Source organism: Homo sapiens, chromosome 6 (assembly GCF_000001405.40).
Source record: "Homo sapiens chromosome 6, GRCh38.p14 Primary Assembly".
NCBI classification, from domain to species: Eukaryota; Metazoa; Chordata; class Mammalia; order Primates; family Hominidae; genus Homo; species Homo sapiens.
In genome coordinates, this window is record NC_000006.12 from 16,279,504 (window position 1) to 16,298,508 (window position 19,005).

At 49.3% G+C, this 19,005-nt stretch overlaps 1 protein-coding gene across 2 annotated transcripts in view, besides 1 other annotated feature; it reads left to right on the top strand.

Moving 5' to 3' along the window:
* Positions 1-16,046, top strand: part of GMPR (guanosine monophosphate reductase) — a 56,963-nt gene extending 40,917 nt beyond the window's left edge. The window contains exons 7-9 of one of the 2 annotated variants that reach the window (NM_006877.4): positions 6,290-6,332; positions 10,959-11,118; positions 15,503-16,046. In NM_006877.4, coding sequence (NP_006868.3) covers positions 6,290-6,332; positions 10,959-11,118; positions 15,503-15,683 — 384 coding nt within the window. In that variant the 3' untranslated portion in view covers positions 15,684-16,046. Of the gene's footprint in view, positions 1-6,289; positions 6,333-9,922; positions 10,066-10,958; positions 11,119-15,502 lie in introns of those variants that run through there. The other variant, XM_047418656.1, reaches the window with a different exon arrangement.
* Positions 6,540-6,669: an enhancer, noted in NCBI's record as "active region_24099". NCBI's record gives its function as "activates an Ori minimal core promoter by ATAC-STARR-seq in GM12878 lymphoblastoid cells {active_cell/tissue: GM12878}" and the evidence as "EXISTENCE:reporter gene assay evidence [ECO:0000049][PMID:35858748]".

Consider the following 19,005-nt stretch of genomic DNA (forward strand, 5'->3'; position numbering starts at 1 on the left):
TAGGGGTTAGGATGGCAACATGCGAGTTTTTGGGGGGACCCAGTTCAACCCATAACAGGCCACGTATCCCATATTCAGGGTCAGGGAAGGTTTCCTGGAGTGTAATAGAGAGAGCTGATGGTTGAAAAGGAAGTTTTCAGATGAGAAGAAAGAAGGGAACAGAAAAGCACTGGGGAACCAAATCTCAGTCACTGCATCTGGGGCGAGTGACCTGAGAGGGGCAGGCGTGAGGGGCAGCAGGAGATAAGCTTGAGGGCAAGTATGGACAAGAGCTGTGGGATCCACCTTTAAGGATGGGACTTCTCCAAGAGCACTAGGGAGCTATTGCAGAGGTCTGAGTAGGAGAGTGCCCAACTCACTGCCTTGGGTCAGATTGAAAGGGGCAAAATAAAAAAGAGAGCCCAGCTGGGACGCGTTAGTAATTCAGGAGGGGGAGGTGACTGTGCTCTGCAGCAGGCTTGAGAGCCATCTCCAGAATTGACTGACATTTGGGAGGCAGAATTAAACAAGTGTCGGCAATGGAGTAGGTGCTTGGGGGGCACTGGAGAAGGAGAAGGAGGAGCAAGGCTGTGGCTGGCTCATGTGCTGGCTCACCTGGAAGATGGCTGCAAAGGAAGAGGTTCGGGGCTGGTGTGGTGATCACTATGGCACGTGTCTGTTGATTCTGAGGTGCTTGAGGGGCATCAGAAGGGAAATTGCACATGAGGCATTGTGTTCATAGTTGGAGACCTGGCAGCTTTTAGCCCATAGATGATGAAAGTCTTGGGAATGGTGCTCAGGTAACAACTGAAGCTAGGATCAAGGTCTTTCACTCGCTGTCCAGTGCAGATTGCCTGGGCCCCTTCTAATGCCTCATCCAAATTTTTCACCCACCCATCCATTCATCCAGCAAGTCTCTATTAAGCATCTACTGTGATAGTATCTGAAATAAATGGTCAAAGGTTTATTGGTTAATGACAGAGTTCTAAGACTCTCCACTCAATACCCTTTGCCCCAGTGAACAAATTAATATCCATTTATTGAGCAACTAGTGTGTAAAAGGCTGACATAGAACTGTCGGTCTACATTTGCTAAGAGGTTATTCAACTCACGGGAGCGGCCAGGCAGTAGTACCATTCCGCAGTATGTCAGTGGTTCTCAAATCCTGAGTGCAGCCTTGTCTGAGTCTGGCTGCGTGAGGATCACCAGAGAGGCTTTTACAAATCAACATTCCGGGACCCCATCCTAGTGAACTGGCTCTTTCAGAGGTTAGTCCCCAAAATCCCCATATGTAATTAGTCCTGTCTCCATTACCTAATAATGTTAACCATTGAGCATCTCCATCAAGTCAAAACTTGGACCCTATATCGTAAGTGTTGAATGACCACTATTTCCAAAGTAGTGGAGTTCTGATTAATAAAGTTTTACTCTGAACATATTCTGAGATCCTTATGTCTTTCTAGAAACTTCAAACTTGCTTAGTTTACAGGGCTGTTTGGCCAAAGATTGGTGGTAGGCAGGGTGGGGTGGAGGCTCTGTGTGCCCCAGAGGTGAATCTGATTGGAAATCAACTTAGCATCTCTTTACACAGCACCACCTAATTTATAGTGTATCTCAGCAGTTCTCTTAAGCGTGGTGCCCAGACCAGCAGCAGCAGTATCAACTGAGAACTTGTTACAAATTCTTGGGCCCCACCATCGACGTGACCTACAGAATCAGAACTCTGCAGGTGAGGCCCAGGAACCTGTTTAAACACGAGCCCTCCAGGTAGTTCTGATGTCCTCTCAAGTGTGAGACCCACTGGCTTATAGAGTAGAGGCTCAGCATACGCTGGCGGGGTGAGTGTTCCTGAACCAGGTCTCATCTGCTGGTGCCCAAGGCAGCAACTTCTCTGAATTTAACAGTTAGGGACAATGACATCCCAAGCCTGGGGCACTGGTGCAATAGGAAGGTAGCACTTCTGATCTTGCTTGTGTTCTCTGAGGTTCTTTTTTTTCTTTTTAGTTTTTACTTTTTTATTTTATTTATTTTTTATTTTTTTGAGATGGAGTCTTGCTGTATCGCCCAGGCTGGAGTGCAGTGGCATGATCTCAGCTCCCTGCTAGAATGCCTCCCGGGTTCAAGCGATTCTCCTGCCTCAGCCTCCCGAGTAGCTGGGATTACAGGCACGCGCCACCACGCTCAGCCCATTTTTTTTTTGTATTTTTAGTAGAGGCAGGGTTTCACCATGCTGGCCAGGCTGGTCTCGAACTCCTGACCTCATGATCCGCCCGCCTCAGCCTCCCAAAGTGCTGGGATTACAGGCGTAAGCCACCGTGCCCGGCCTCCGAGTTTCCTTTTACGTCAATGCTGAGAGGTCTCCTAGATGGGGTTAGGAGTTCCATTTAGCTGGAAAAGCAAATGAATGGACTTAGTAGAATTTGGACCTTTGCCCTCAGCTCAGTCCTTGTAAGCAGCTGAGTGTCTTGAGGTTCAGAGCAGCCATTGCCCCCACACTCCCTTTGTCTAACAGGGCACGGGCACGTTTCTGTCACTTGCCAGTAGCCCTGAACCTGCTAGAAACCCACCAGGTGTTTTGGATCCTGCCACTTGGTCCAATTTCCTTCCAGCTGTCCCATTTTACCCTTTATTTGCTGAATTAGCACACTGGTGCCATTGAAGTTCAAAGGAAGCCACAACATGGTGTCTGTTGAGCATGTACTGATACCCAAGAGGCTGGGCTTCAGTCGTGTTTCTGTTGTGGCCCACATGGGCTTCAGAGAGGCAGAGGGAGGAAAAATTCAGGATACTTCCTGCATAGGTGAAGATTAAGGTGGGACCAGTTAATTTTTTGTTATCACACCATTATTTAGAAATACCTAAACAAATTCATTCAAATAATTAATCTTTTTTTTTGAGTCTGGAAAATTTTCCCAGCAAAATGTGTTTAACCTAGGAAAAGTTAGAAATGCAAATAAACATAAAAAGGAAAATAAGTATTAGCAGTAATGCTATCATCTTAAGATAACCACTGGTTCTAAACTTGTTTTTCCATTTTTATAGCTGTGTGACCTTAGGAGAGTTGCTTAACCTTTCTGAGCCTCTTTCCACCGTCCCCGCCGTCTACGCAATATCTCCTTCAGGTTCATGAGTTTGAATGGAAAAATGACTTTTAAGTTCAAAAGAGTTGCTGGTTCTTAGTAGGTGACTGATTTGAACTCCTTTCTCTGCCTACTCCATGTTTGCCATACCATCCTTCCTTTGTTTTAGGAATAAGCAAGTATTTTTCTTTTTTCCTTTTTGTTTTTTCATTGTCAGTATTCAACATAATGTGAGCAAGTATTTTTTTTTTCTTTTTTTTTTTTGAGACAGAGTCTTGCTTTGTCACCCATGCTGGAGTGCAGTGGCATGATCTCGGCTCACTGCAACCTCTGTCTCCCAGGTTTAAGTGATAGTCCTGCCTCAGCCTCCCGAGTAGCTGGGATTATAGGCATACGCCACCACACCCAACTAATTTCTGTAGTTTTAGTAGAGACAGGGTTTCACCATGTTCGCCAGGCTGGTCTTGAACTCCTGACCCTAGGTGATCTGCCTGCCTCAGCCTCCCAAAGTGCTGGGATTACAGGTGTGAGCCACTGTGCCTGTAGCCTGAGCAAGTATTTTTAAGCAAAAGAGGCAGGCTGACAGTTCACAAGTTATCCTTCATGTCCTGTGATGCCATTTGTACTTAAATATAATGTTAACTCTTTTGGAAAAACAAAAAAAGGACTCCTTGTACATTACTGCTTTGAATACTTGCACAGAACAAACAAATTACAAGCCCAAATGTTGTTGTTTTTAACAACCTTTCAGCAGCTATGAATGTTTATGTGTGAAGATGCATGTATGTCTTGATTGCTGGAGCTACACTGCTTCCCGAGAACATGAAAGGACACTTTGAACACTTTTGGAAATATAAACAGTAGCAGGAAGTAGACTGCCATGTCTGTCCTAAGGCATCATGTGAAGTTGGATTGCTCTTGGTTAAATGTACAACCATTAACCATATACAGTTGTTTGGTCTACGCTGACCATTTCACAAGTGCACATACAAAAGCACCCTGTGAGCGGATGACGCCATAAATATGATTTCCTCTTTGCAATACGCCATACAGTTGTATTAACTGTGGATCTCTTGGCCCATCCTGGGAAGAGAAAGGCTGATTTTCTTGGGGTCCCAGTGGCACAGGGCTCCTGATTCAGGCCTCATCACAGACCACAGTAATAAGAAATTTTCAGGACACCACAGGAGACACAAATGAGTGAACAAAAGAGTGATTTTTTTAAAAGTCATACATGTGTAGGACTTATTTTAATGGGAGCATGAGTTTATTTAATGTGTTTGAGGCCAGAAGTGTGAAACACTGTGTAGAGCTGGTTTTGATAAAGAGATAAAGCACTTTAAAATTAATTGGCAGGGCAAGCGAAGGGCATTTTGAGGTTGTACCTTTGAAAGGTAAAATAAATAAATATGCCAGGATTTTGAAGCATTAACAAGGGGTATAGAGCCACAAGCCCTGTCCCTGTCTTCACACAGTGGGTTTGGGCCAGATAACATACGGCAAGACCACCTCTGAAATAATATTCCTCAGTGCTCTGTGGCCCTCTGGGGGTCAGAGAAGCCATGTATGAATAACACATTTGATTGAGGAAATAACTGTGGTCAGTAAATGTTTGTAAAGAAAAGGTCCAGCCTTCACACTTAACCTTTTGATCAGAGCTGCAAAGAAGTAGTGAAATAGTATTGGAGTTCTAGCTCCTGGAGTGACAGGCCTCACTGGTAGATAGAGAAAGGGAACTGAGTCACAGAGACCCTATGTTCTCAGTTTGAGATGTTCTTCACAAGGTGGGTCATCCCATTTCCCTGCTCTCCAACTCCAGAGGTGTGTGCACTTTCCTGCAGGTTGTAACACGGGGTAGCCTGGGCACCCTGTCTTTTCTCTATTCCTTCCCAAAGTGGGTCCCACCTTCTGCGGACAGGTGCTTCCCTCTGAGGTCCTGCTGTTTCTCCTAGACCCACACTTAGCTTTGGGCTGTGTCACTGTCACGTGAGCCCTGACACTGTTGCTGTCTCCCCTTGCACCATGGCTTTCGTGACTGTCCCCGTGTGTCTGGCTGCTGCTCCAGCGTACTGTTGCTGTCCTTTTGCCCCTTGAATTGCGCCCAGGCTACATTAGGAATAGCAGGTAGCAGCCTGGGCATTTGGTGTCTTGTGTTTGTAAGAAAATGCAGCTAGTGGCTGGGCGCGGTGGTGCACGCCTGTAATCCCAGCACTTTGGGAGGCCGAGGTGGGCGGATCACCTGAGGTCAGGAGCTCAAGACCAGCCAGGCCAACGTGGCGAAATCCCGTCTCTACTAAAAGTACAAAAATTAGCTGGGCTTGGTGGTGGGCACTTGTAATCCAGCTACTCAGGAGGCTGAGGCAGGAGAATTGCTTGAACCCAGGAGGCAGAGGTTGCAGTGAGCCGAGATCACGCCATTACACTCCAGCCTGGGCGACAAGAGTGAGACTGTCTCAAAAAAAAAAAAAAACAAAAAAAAAAAAACAGAAAAGAAAAGAAAATTCAGCTAGCTCTGCATCCTAGAAGACTTGTACTGTGTAGCTGGAGTTTAAACATTACCCCCAACAGCTGAACCTTGCTGGGCAGCCCAAGATAACAGACTGGCCCTGCTACACATTAAACCAGCCCAAGTGTGGTCTGCATGGGCAGTGTGGGTGGAAAAACAGATGTTTGATTTTAAGGTAACTTTGTACCATACATGAGGAATAGGAAACATGGAGGTACCTGGAAAGATAAAAGGATTAACTCAATGTCCTTTTCTTGGCTCTTACAAGAATTCAACCCTTGTACTAAATAAATCTCACCTCACACCAGGCAGAGAGGGAAAGGTGACTCCTGAGTGAGAATGAGTGTGGACAGTGGAATGGCTGGGTGTGTTATGTAGGGGGCTGGCATGGGATGAGGGCTGAGCCCCTCTGCCGCTCACAGCCCCTGCTGCCTCCTGCTCTGCAACAGAAGTGTCTGAGCCCAGGCAGGCAGGTGGGCAGTGGGTGGTGCCAGCTTCTGACCCACAGAGGAAGCCTGGATGGGCCTGGGGAGTGAAAGGTGCAATATTGAGGGGAGTACACTCGATCAGACAACAACAGCCGTGGTAGGGGAACTTGGGCCCGTGGGCTTGCTGGGGGCTGTGGTGGGTCTGAACCCCCAGTCACTAGGTCATCTGGGGGGAGGGGACAGCCTGGCTGAGCTCCCGCTGATGATGTCCTGTCCTTGCTTTTTCCTCTGTGAAGGATGGAGGCTGTACGTGTCCAGGGGATGTCGCCAAAGCCTTTGGTAAGGCCGGGCCCTGGTGCAGAGGGAGGGAAGGAAGGAAGGAGGGAGCTCCCTACACCTCTCCAGCTGGCAACCTGAATGAGGAGGGGGACCTGGTGGGGAAGTTCTGGGTCTCCTGGAGGTTCCTCTCCCTGGGTTTCAGCCCCAATTGGCCCAAATCCTGGACCGTGGCAGAGCAGGTCACAGATGCCCCAGGAGATATCTAGGGGTGACGTCCTGCAAGCCAGGAGTGGGTGAAGTCACGGCCTTTTCATCCCAGGGAAGAGAAAGCTCAAGGGACCTGTCCAAGGGGATGGTGCCAGGTGTGATGTGTAACAACTACAGAGGGGGTTTTTTGGACCCAGCTTGGAGAAGTCCCGTGGAAGGGACAGGAGGAATCCCGCAGCGGTTTCTCCCTGGAGGCTGGAGCCTGCCTCCCGCTAGGGGGCAGCAGTGCCTGCTGTGAGCCCGTGGGATTGGGGATGGGGAGCGGTGGTGGGAGGGCAGCAGGTCCTGAGCTTTTCTCTGGAAAGCACTAGACGCTCCAGCCTCTCAACACCACAAGCAGTAAAGTACGGCTGCCGAGCCATGTGTTGGCCATAGAACTGCAAATGGCATTTGGAAGTCAGAGCTGGCCGCGTGGCTGTGGGCTCCAGAATGTGAAATGGGCGTTGTGGGTGCCGGCGGGAGGCAGAAACGAAGCTCCCATGCCTCCGCCCTTTGCTGATGCCAGAAAAAAAAAAAATGGTGGCAGGAAACTTTATGTCATAGGAATTCTGTTTTTTTGTTTTTTGGTTTTTGTTTTTAATTTTCAGGCTGGGTGCGGTGGCTCACACCTGTAATCCCAGCACTTTGGGAGGCCGAGGTGGGCAGATCACTTGAAACCAGCAGTTTGAGACCAGCCTGGACAATACCCCATCTCTACTAAAAATACAAAAAAAAATACCGGGGTGTGGTGGTGCACGCCTGTAATCCCAGCTACTCAGGAGGCCAAGGTGGGAGAATCGCTTGAACCCGGGAGCCAGAAGTTGCAGTGAGCCAAGATCACGCCACTGCACTCCAGCCTGGGTGACAGAGTGACCCTGTCTCAAAAAAATATAAAAAATAAAAATTAAAAAATAAATGGTCAGACAACAACCCTGATAGTGACAAAGGAAAACACAGGGCAGTGTTCTTAGCAACAAGGTTTCATAGCAACCCAAAGATGTCATGAAAAATGGTATTTAACCTCCTCCTAATCATAGATCCTATCTGTGGAGAGGAATCTACAGACCCTCCACTGATTCCAGCTTCCTATTTTATAGTTGAGGGGACTGAGGCTGTAGGAGGGAATGACAAGGTCACAGCCCTACAATCAGGGGCAGAACAGGGAGAATACAGAGCCTCTGCTAACTAGTGCTGTCACTTACCCTTTATTGTAAGGATCATTGGCCAAGGGCATTTTTATGATTGGTTTTTGAGCTGAATCTACTTAATACAGGTGGTGGTCCATCTTGGACTCTTTTGTGTTGCCTCACACATGCTCTCTGTACAGAGGGAGAGCCAAACACACTTTAAAGTGACTGGTCGTTGAGAAGTGCCTTGTAGATCACAGTTCCTGGCCTTTGGACCACACTCAGCTCAGTCTCCTTTGGGTGCCATTCCCTCCTCCACTGTCTCTCAGTCAGTGCGGCCGTACCTGTGCCGAGACTCAGTGGAGCGAGAGGGACCTTGTCAGGGAAGGATGCAAGGGTGTCCCGAAATGAAAATGGTTGGGAACCCCCTCAAAGCATTCTTTAGTGGGTCTGTGCTCTGCGTTCCTGCTGTTGACATCTGCTCCTTTGCAGCTGCCGCAGAGGTGCTGTGCTCCTGAATTGTCAAGAATCCTGGCTGGACACCAGTTATCCTCTGCCTCCTTAAAATCATGGCAGGAGGACCAGGGAGTCAGCATTCGTGTTAGGAACCCTGAAAGGGGAGGGTCTTAAGAGGTTGCTGCCACTTAGGAAGGTTGCGTTGTGCTTTGCTTCCCTGAGTGCTAGAAAAGCTCGCCTTTCTGTCATGCTGAACTGTAACGCCAATGAAAACCTCAGAGTGCTCTGCCAATGTTTAAATGACCAAATTGAAGGCATCAGGGCCACTTTCAGGGGTTCCTATGTTTCCTCCTCCTGATTAGGATTTGCCAGGCTCCCCTCCTCCTTCATCCTATTACTTAATACATCTGCGCCCTGCTACTGTCTTGTTCTGTTCTAAAGGTAAACCCTCAGTAGGGCTTACTCAGGGGAGGCTGTAGTGAGAGGTGACAGCCCTCACAGCCCTCGCTTGCTGTCCACGCCTCCTCTGCCTGGGCTCCCACTTTGGCAGCACTTGAGGAGCCCTTCAGCCCGTCTCTGCACTCTGGGAGCCCCTTTCTGAGCTGGCCAAGGCCGGAGCCGGCTCCCTCAGCTTGAAGGGAGGTGTGGAGGGAGAGGCGCGAGTGGCAACCGAGGATGCGCGAGGCGCTTGCGGGCCAGCTGGAGTTCCGGGTGGGTGTGGGCTTGGCAGGCCCTGCACTCGGAGCGGCCGGCTGGCCCTGCCGGCCTCAGGCAATGAGAGGCTTAGCACCCGGGCCAGCAGCTGCGGAGGGTGTGCTGGGTCCTCCAGCAGTGCCAGCCCACTGGCGCTGCGCTGGATTTCTGGCTGGGCCTTAGCTGCCTCCCTGCGGGGCAGGGCTCGGGACCTGCCGCCCGCCATGGCTGAGCTTCCCCGCCCCCTCCACGGGCTCCTGTGCGGCGGGAGCCTCCCTAATGAGCGCCGCCCCCTGCTCCAAGGCCCCCAGTCCCGTCAACCATGCAAGGGCTGAGGAGTGCAGGCGCAGGGCGTGGGACTGGTGGGCAGCTCCATCTGCAGCCCCAGTGCGGATCCACTGGATGAAGCCAGCTGGGCTCCTCAGTCTGGTGGGGACGTGGAGAACCTTTATGTCTAACTCAGGGATTGTAAATACACCAATGGGCACTCTGTATCTAGCTCAAGGTTTGTAAACACACCAACCAGCATCCTGTGTCTAGCTCAGGTTTTGTGAATGCACCAATCCACACTCTGTATCTAGCTAATCTGGTGGGGACGTGGAGAACCTTTGTGTCTAGCTCAGGGATTGTAAACACACCAATCAGCGCCCTGACAAAACAGACCACTCACTCTACCAATCAGCAGGATATGGGTGGGGCCAGATAAGAGAATAAAAGCAGGCTGCCGGAGCCAGCAGTGGCAAACCCTTCTGGCTCCTTTTCTTTGGGAGGGTGATTTGTTGTTTCGCTCTTTGCAATAGATTCTGTTGCTGCTCGGTCTTTAGGCCCACACTGCTTTTATGAGCTGTGCTATTTGCCGGGAAGGTCTATAGCTTCATTTTTGAGCTAGCGCAGACCCCAACCCCACCAGAAGGAAAAAGCCTCAGCCGCGCCACCTTATAGAGCTGTTACACTCACAGTGAGAGTCTATGGCTTCATTCTTGAAGTCAGTGAGACCAAGAACCCACCAGTTCCGAACACAGTAGCAGTTCCTTAGTTAATAGGCAATGAAGAATCCCACTGCACAGTGATCCATGAACAAAATGGGGAATGATAACTTTTTTTCCCACGTTTTTACTTTTTTGACAGCTAATCATTCAGCGTCTATCATGTGCTGTGCACTTTGGATCAACATAGAACCAGCCCTGGGCCTGTTCCAGCATAGCCCACAAAGACAGGCAGCTTCAGTACCTCTGTCTCCTGTGCCTGTCCTGGAAATGTGCTGTCATTCGGTGATTAGTCTGGCAGAATATGTACTCTGGAAATCTAATGTGCAGCAGCATGGTGCGGGTGGAGTTTTAGACGACTTCCATAACACGGGGACTTCTTTCCTTGAAGCTGTCTAGTGTAGGAGCTTCAGTCTGTTCTGAGGCTTTTTCCTGATGTATAAGCACAGGGAGTGTCAGAGTGTGGAGAGCTTCAAGTACAGACCAGACACCTGAGGGGGTATCATAGAGGAGTCATAGCATTAAGTACAAGATTAGGTAACTTGCTTTCTAAGATACTGCCCAATTTTTTTTTTTTTTTTTTTTTTTTTTTTTTTTTTTTTGTGAGACGGAGTCTCCCTCTGTTGCCCAGGTTGGAGTGCAGTGGCATGATCTCGGCTCACTGCAACCTCCACCTCCGGGGTTCAAGCGATTTCCGGCTAATTTTTGTATTTTTAGTAGAAATGGGGTTTTATCATGTTGGCCAGGCTGGTCTTGAACTCCTGATCTCAAGTGATTCACCTGCCTCAGCCTCCCAAAGTGCTAGGATTACAGGGCTGAGCCACTGTGCCTGGCAGAATACTCCCCAATCTTAATGTTTCTGTGATTCTAAGAGAGTTAGATCTGAGGAAGGTGGTCGTAGTTAGCCATTAAAAGCCATTCAGCATGGTCCAGTATATGGGACACTAGCCTTCAGTAGGCTGCATTTGTTTCTCGCAGTGTCCCATGGCCCTTTCTCCCTGCATGGAAGCCTTCTCCCTTTTTCCAGGAGGAGACAGGCGAGAGAGGTCCAGCCTTTCTCTTGACTATAGCTGGGCGGGGAGGGAGGTGAACTGGGCAAGCACTGGGATTTTTTGAGAGCCTTTTCCCCTGAGCTGTTTTCTCTGCTACTCGCTTTCATCCCCACCGTTGGCATTTAGGAGCTGGAGCAGATTTTGTCATGCTGGGAGGAATGTTTTCGGGTCATACGGAGTGTGCTGGAGAAGTGTTTGAGAGGAACGGACGGAAGCTCAAGCTCTTCTACGGGATGAGCTCTGACACCGCCATGAACAAGCACGCAGGAGGAGTTGCTGAGTACAGGTGAGGAGGTGACCCCGGGGCGCACCCTCGAGGCCTGGCCTTGCTTTTCTTACGGAGATGGGATGGAAGCAGGTCTGAATAGCAGCTCTGTGTATATTAAAGTACCGTGGGAAGGGGTTCTTTTTAAAGACCCCTAATTTGTATCCAGTTAGCATTTGCAGTGTTTGGGGTTCCCAAAAGCAAGTACAGAGCAGCAGTGTTTGGTGATGGGTTGGAAGTGTGACCAGGGTTATATGTGAGTGGGTGCCAGTCCTGAAGGGAATACTTCAGACCTCTGGGGGTAGGTGGAATTATTGTCTTGTCCTTCCAGTAGAGCCTGTGCTGAGCTATCCCTGTAAGCTTAGATCTCTGGCTTGAGAAGAGTTCAGGCTGAAAGGATTGAGTTGAAGAATGGCTCTCCTCTTGCACAGAAAGCCATAGGTGTGGTCTAGACCACTGCACGGTGGCCAGGCCTTTCCTGAAGAATGCTGCATACAGCTCATACCGCTTCTCACCTTCCTCCAGGCTCCGAGAGCCGACACAGCAGCATTTTCAGCCATTCAGTTGTGTCATCCACTGTAGAAGTGGGGCTTACTTCTGCTGATGTGTGTTTATTTTTTATTTTTTATTTTTATTTTTTTGTGGTGGAGTCGTGCTCTGTCGCCCAGGCTGGAGTGCAGTGGTGTGATGTCAGCTCACTGTAACCTCTGCCTCCCGGGTTCAAGTGATTATCCTGCCTCAGCCTCCCGAATAACTGGGATTACAGGTACCCCCCATCATGTCCAGCTATTTTTTGTATTTTTAGTAAAGATGGGGTTTCGTCATGTTGGCCAGGCTGGTCTCGAACTCCTGACTTCCAGTGATCCACCCACCTCGACCTCCCAAAGTGCTGGGATTATAGGCATGAGCCACCGCACCTGGCTCCTGATGCATGTTTTTAATCCATGGTCTCCAAAGACACCTGGGTCTTTTCCTGATTCCCTTCCATTTTAACTGTCTGCATGTGTGTTTTAAGAACCTGATGATGGGGCCAGGCACAGTGGCTCATGCTTGTAATCCCAGTGCTTCCAGCAGCCAAGGTTGGAGGACTGCTTGAGACCGGGAGTTCCAGATGAGCCTAGGCAACATAGCAAGACCCTGTCTCTACAAAAAAATTAAAAATTAGCTGGGTGTGGTGTCACATGACTGTACTCCCAGCAGCTCAGGAGGCTGAGGCAGGAAGATGGCTTAAGCCCAGGAGTTGGAGGCTGCAGTGAGCTATGATCGTGCCACTGTGCTCCAGCCTGGGCAACAGAGTGATACCCTGCCAAAAAAAAAAAAAAAGAACCTGATGACAGTATACTCGCTGCCTCACCCTGCTCCATAGAGCCTACTGTTACTCTCATCAGGGTTAGCGCCGATGACAAGCTATACAAAATGGGTACAGGAGCAAAGGTTCTCCATCTGCAGAGGGAAGTTGCCTGTGAATCGGCTGGTTGCCTTTTTCCAGGAAAGTTCAGGCTTCTCCCTCCAATTTTCAGACTCTATCCGGTGCTGGAGTGGAAACCTAAGCCCTCCCTGACTGACACCCTTTATTTCCTACCACTCATTCCACACCCAGAGGGTCATTTTGAGGACCTGGGATTCAGATGTATTATATAAGGTTCATACCAAGCTAGCAGCAAAATCTCAGAACTCCACTGAGATTTGTAGGTGGGGGGATTGGGGGGAGTGGGGTGTATTCTACCAGAGTTCTATTCATCCGTGGGGTTCTAGCGGACTTACTTCAGTTCTCATTCTCCTCAAGTCTCTTTCTCTTGGTGGTGAACCCCAATAAAGATATTATAGTATGGGAAAAGCAGGATGGGAAAGATCGATGGGGACTGCACCAATCAGAAATGAGGGATTCACTCCTTCCAGGTAGCCCCCGAGGCCCTCTTTCCCCCAAGCGGTCCCTGATAGAGGAGGAGGTTGCATGGTTGGGTAAGGAGGAGGCACTAAGCTGGACCTATGTTCAAGAAGCTTCGTGCTTTACCAGCAACTGTTGTCATCATCCAAGGGCCTGCACATGTGTCCTCTGTGCCAGAATGTAAGTGGAGCTTTCATGGGTGAGCAGCAGCTAGGTGCTTTGCCTGGAGTACCTTTTTCACCCTCGTGGCTGCATCTGTTTTGGGTTCTTTAAAAAATTATAGAATCAAGAAGACCAGAGCAGGCTATGGCACAAACAGAAACCAAAGAGCTGAAAGAAAAAACGTCTTCTGTAATTTCAGCAGGGTTTAGGTATAATAGAAAAAAAAAGATTCAGCAGTAGCAAGACTCAGTTCTGAAAGTGGATTCAAATCTTTAACAGGGAAGGAAATTGCTGAGGAAATTAGAACCTTAATCCAAAGGCTTCAGCCTGAGCCTTGCGGCTGCACCTGTCTTACCTCTGTCTGAGTCTCTCTCTCTCTCTCTCTCTCTTAGTTTTCAGCCCGTGACCATGATCTTGTCATGAGAATGCTTCCCGACTTTGACAAATTACTTATGGCACAGTTATGTACACATTGCTGGTTCTTTCCCAATCATTATTTCATTCTCACGCTGTGCCCGGGAGGCAAAGTACCTTCATTTTACGGATGAGCAGACTTAAGCATCAGCAAAAAAGGAATTTGTAAAAGGCGACACCACCACTTAGCAGAGAAGCAACAGTGAGAATCTAGAAATTTCCAAGAAGCCCCAGGAAGGCCATGGAAATATCTTACGAAAATGAAATGTCAGTAATTGCAGGCACAAGTGTACAGACGCCTGTCTGGGGTCACGGAGTGCTGAGCCCTGAACCATCCTGGGTATGGCCAATGACTGGCTTCCTGAGCTTGGGGCTCTAAACCGGCTGATGGTTTAAGTAGCTGGATTTTACCCAAGGGTAGTCCTGCCTGTTCAGCAACCAAGAGTTAAGCCCCTTTTGAAATTCTAGATAATGAATGTCTGGTCAAGAGATGCTCTTCAAGGCAGGTGGATCACCTAAGGCCAGGAGTTCGAGACCAGCCTGGCCAACATGGTGAAACCCCATCTCTACTAAAAATACTAAAATTAGCTGGGAGTGGTGGCAGGCACCTGTAATCCCAGCTACTCAGGAGGCTGAGGCAGGAGAATTGCTTGAACCCAGGAGGCAGAGGTTGCAGTGAGCTGAGATTGCACCATTGCACTCCAGTCTGGGTGACAAAGGCAAAACTCCATCTCAAAAAAAGATGCTCTTTTTCCAGCTGAAAAGAACAGCTACAGAAAGTTCCAGAATTTGGGTACTTGTTAGAACTTGCATGGCCCTTAGATGAGAGCTAGAGTTTTGCCTAGATTTCAGATTTCCTTCTGGTAATACACACATCTGGTAATATACACATGTGTAATATACACATATTCTGGTAATATATACATGTGTCTGGACCACATCCCCATTTTGCAGTGAGGGGACATGACCTGTGTTACCCAAGTAACAATCAAGCAGTGTTACCTGGTGGCTTTGTGAAGAGAGGGACATGGGCTCAGTGGGGACAGTGAAATGTTGCTTAGTGTTCATGCCATAGGCCAGACTTGAGTTTCTAAATACTCCTCTGAAAATGTGAACGTTGCTATCCAAAGCCTGGAAGCCTCTGGTGCTAAGACAGGTCTTGGTTCTCCTCTGATTCCACCTTGCTTGGACCCACACATGTGCAGGGTGATAGGTGTAGTGACCTGTAAGAGAACAGGGAGTCGAACTGGGGGTGGCCAGTGTACCCAGCAAAGCAGAAAGACAGGCAGGCTATCAAAACAGAGCCACTTCAATGAAATCACCTTGCTGGTGATTTCCACGTAAGCTGGTAGGACCTGCGCTATCCATTTTATGTCCTCCTCGTCCTGGTCGTCCCCCTTGAAGACACTTGATTTCTGATCTTAGACCAGACAGGCGGGAGGTGAAGCTCTGGACTTTTCCTGTTGTTGACGTAGGAGGACAGGAGGCTGTTTCCAGGGGGGAATCGGCCAGGGCCATTCTGGGGGCATTTTGGGCTCCTGGTTGTTGGGAAGTTGGTGTGCATGTTGAGGTAGAATAGAAAGGTAAAGGTGGTTTCTGTTAGCAGCAGAGGGGAGCACGTTGCTGGAGAGAATGGCACCAAGCAGGGTGTTATGGGTCCCTGACTCCTTCAAGCGCTGCTCACCAGGACTTTCCTCTCCGCAACATGCAGGGCAGCCAGCAATGAGCCCGTGCCCTTTGGGCGGGAGGAATGTGTTCATCTGAGATGCTGGTGATCATCTTGGCACTTGGTAGAAATGTGGGGATGGGGTCAGAGGGTGGGGTCTGGTTTTCTGAGTGCCTTGGGGGCTACAGAAAGTGCTGGAGCTGGGAGTAATTCTAATTGGGCTCTTAAGGTGGGGCGGGAAACTAGATAAAAAGAAAACTTCTATCGTCTTCCAGAGCCTCTGAGGGTAAGACTGTGGAAGTTCCTTACAAAGGAGATGTGGAAAACACTATCCTGGATATTCTCGGGGGACTGAGGTCCACGTGCACCTACGTGGGGGCCGCCAAACTCAAGGAGCTCAGCAGGAGGGCAACATTCATCCGGGTGACCCAGCAGCACAACACCGTGTTCAGCTAACCCTGGGGACAAAGCAGCGTCTGGCTCGAGTGGAAGCGTCCAAACCTGCTTTTCCCATCTCCCCCCAAGTCTGTTCCGTCAGAGCTTCTGGCTGCTCCTGAATGGTGGAATGCTGTGTCCTCTCTTCTGTCTCCTGCTGCCTGGAGGCTTCGGGGCTCTCCCGCCTGCCTTCTCGGGGCCCAGACGCAAGGCACCGATTGGGCCAACATCAGAGCCCTGCTGCCCAGAACTCATAACCTCATTGTTCAAACCAACACTTGCACCTTTCTCTTTTTCTCTTTCTCTCTCCCTTTCTTTGTTTTTCTTTCTTTTTTAAAAGAAGATGGTTTCACTTTAATATAATGCTATTATCTTAAGACTTAATGGAGTTGCTGGAGTTTGTATTTCCAGGAGTCAAGTTGAATGGTTTGGGATTTGTTTTGCTACCTTCCTAGACAGGCTGATGGCAAGCCTCTCCCGGCGATTAGCAGACAAGTCACCTTAGGAGGGGCAAGGAGAGGAGGACAGTGCGGGGGCCAAGGGTGGACAGGCCGGAGTCAAAGTAACTGGCATCCCTCACCTCTAGCTTTTGGTTGCTGCAAAAGAACAAAAGCAATTAACTGGACAGATGAACATGAATTGTTTTCCCAGCTGATACTCACAAAGTTGAGCCAATGTGTTTTCCCCGAGTTTCATTACATGTGCTTTTCAGGGACAAGTCATCTGTCGCTACCAGTTTGCTGTTGCCTCTAGGAAGCTGTCCCTGTCCTGGCTTCTCATTTCGTTTTGTTTTCCTCCATCTTTTTTTTCCCCCTTCTCAGTCCCAACTTGTCTTAATTTGAAATTCCACAGGATGTTTTATGGGAAGGTTGTCTCCCAAGAAATTAGCAGGTGGAGTCACACTGAAAAAGAGCCAAAGCTTTGATCAGTGGCATCCTAAAAGGCATTGGTTTGAGACATGAGTTAGAGCCATTCCCTCAGTGTGCCAGTGAATCCTTTCTCGGAAGGACCACATGGCACTACTGTATAAGGGTCAGTTAACGGGTTGGGAACAATGACATTGTCTTGGAGAATTGGCCTCTGCAGCTGACCTGCAGCAGTCCACCAGGATGCTTGTTTAAACAGTGAACGCAGAAGAAGTGATGACCGGCCGCTAAACTTTGAAGTATTGAGTTCCAGGCCTGGAAAGCGTATGCAGATCAGGTTGTTTTACTTTGCTTTTTAATAAGGCTGAAGAGCAGATACACAAGTCAGTTTTCTTTGGAAAGGCAAGCAATGACCCTGGAGTAGAGAAGATCCACAGGGTGCTGCTGTGCCAGGGTGAATGAATGGCCTGATTGTCCACAGTGACCGATGGCATGAGAAGGGTCCAACCAGAGCTGTCACACTCTGGGATAATACAGGCCCACTGTTGGTCCTTTAAGATTATGTTTAGAGATCCAGCCAGCAGCATTGTCTCCATTGTAATACTTTCCCCTACTAAATCCATTAAGAGTTTTTTTTTTTTTTTTTTTTTTTTTTTTTTAATTTGAGACAGGGTCTCTGTTGCCCAGGCTGGAGTGCAGTGGCAGGATCACAGCTCACCACAGCCTTGACCTCCCGGGCTCAGGTGATCCTCTGACCTCAGTCTCCCAAGTAGCTGGGACTACAGACACCTGCTACCACGCCCAGCTAATTTTTGTATTTTTTATAGAGACAGGGTCTCACCATGTTGCCCAGACTGGTCTCAAACTCCAGGGCTCAAGCCATCCACCTGCGTCAACCTCCCCAAAGTGCTAGGATTACAGGTGTGAGCCACTGTGCCCGGCCCATTAAGAATAACTCTTGCACCTGTAGAAACACAAGGGCTGCACTTTGGAGACGGGAGGGCCAAGAGGCGATTTAACGTGGAGCAAGACATGGGGCTTGGCTGCAGGCTCCCCGCCTTGCTCTCTGTGGTCTTCCAGCTGCTTGTAACTGAGTAGTTACAAAATCAAAAACTCGTTAGGACCATTTTGAAGCAGAGCCTTCAGAAAGAGAATGTCTTTTTTTTTTTTTTTTTTCCTGAGACCAAGTCTTGCTCTGTCACCCAGGCAGAGTGCAGTGGCACAATCTCGGCTCACTGCAACCTCCGCCTCCCAGGTTCAAGTGATTCTCGTGCCTCAGCCTTCAGAGTAGCCGGGATTACAGGTGCCCGCCACGTCTGGCTAATGTTTATGTTTTTAGTAGAGATGGGTTTTTGCCATGTTACCCAGGCTGGTCTCAAACTCCTGGGCTCGGGTGATCCACCCACCTCAGCCTCCCAAAGTGCTGGGATTACAGGTGTGAGCCACCGCGCCTGGCCCATAAAGAGAACTTGTAAGGCTCCGTCACCGTTTGCCTTAGCAGGTTCATCTCTGCCTCTGATAGGAGTGGGGCTGGGGGAGCCCACACCAGAGTGTCCCTTGGACCGGGTGTCCCACAGGACCTGGAGATGAAGCATGCAGCTTTGCTGCTGACCCACTGGGCTTCCTGTGCCAGAGCTGGGGGAGGAGGAGGACAGCCAGTGAACTCGACGCCATTTGCCTTGGGCCACTCTGGCCGTTCCATCTGAGGGCTCTGGCAGTGCTTTTGATGGTTTCAAGTCCTGCCCCGCTGCAGCACCTGAAGGTATGGTTCCCCCTAATTGATTTCACCAGCTGAGGTAAGTAACACAGCCACTGGACCCCAAACTTGTCAGAACAATCAGTATCTCACACAAACAAAAAGGGAAGGCAGAGATGCAGACTGCTTTGCCGAGTTTGCCCACAGCACACAGGCACATTTGCCCGGGCTACTCCACAGGACCTGGGGCAGCCCTTGTAGCCTGAGTTGCACCTACACAGCTCTGGTTTGCTGTGTGTCCTTTCACATATTTATTATATAATGTGTCAGGACCTCAACTAAATAATCAGAGGAGAGTCCAAAACACCTTCCCAAGAAGATAGTTCCTCCTTGGCTAAGTGAAAATGAATTTAACCCCAAGCGTTCTCCCACCTCTGTGTAACCTTGAGGCTGGAAGGTCTTGAGGTGGGTTGAGGTGGGTTGAGGTGGGTGCAGGGGATTCCACCTGGAAGCTATGGGTTCTTGAGGAATTACTTTTTCTGGCACAACTGCTAAGCCATATCTTTCCAAGACTGGGCCCAGTGCAAAGCTGTAATGTGGTACTCTTGAGGTAAACGGGGAGTTCCTCCACATGCTGAGAGACCTGCTCGAGGAGTTGGGTTTTTTTTTTGTTTTTGAGGCAGAGTTTTGCTCTGTCGCCCAGGCTGGAGTGCAGCGGTATGATTATGGCTCACTGCAGCCTCGACCTCCTGGCCCCAGGCGATCCTCCCACCTCAGTCCC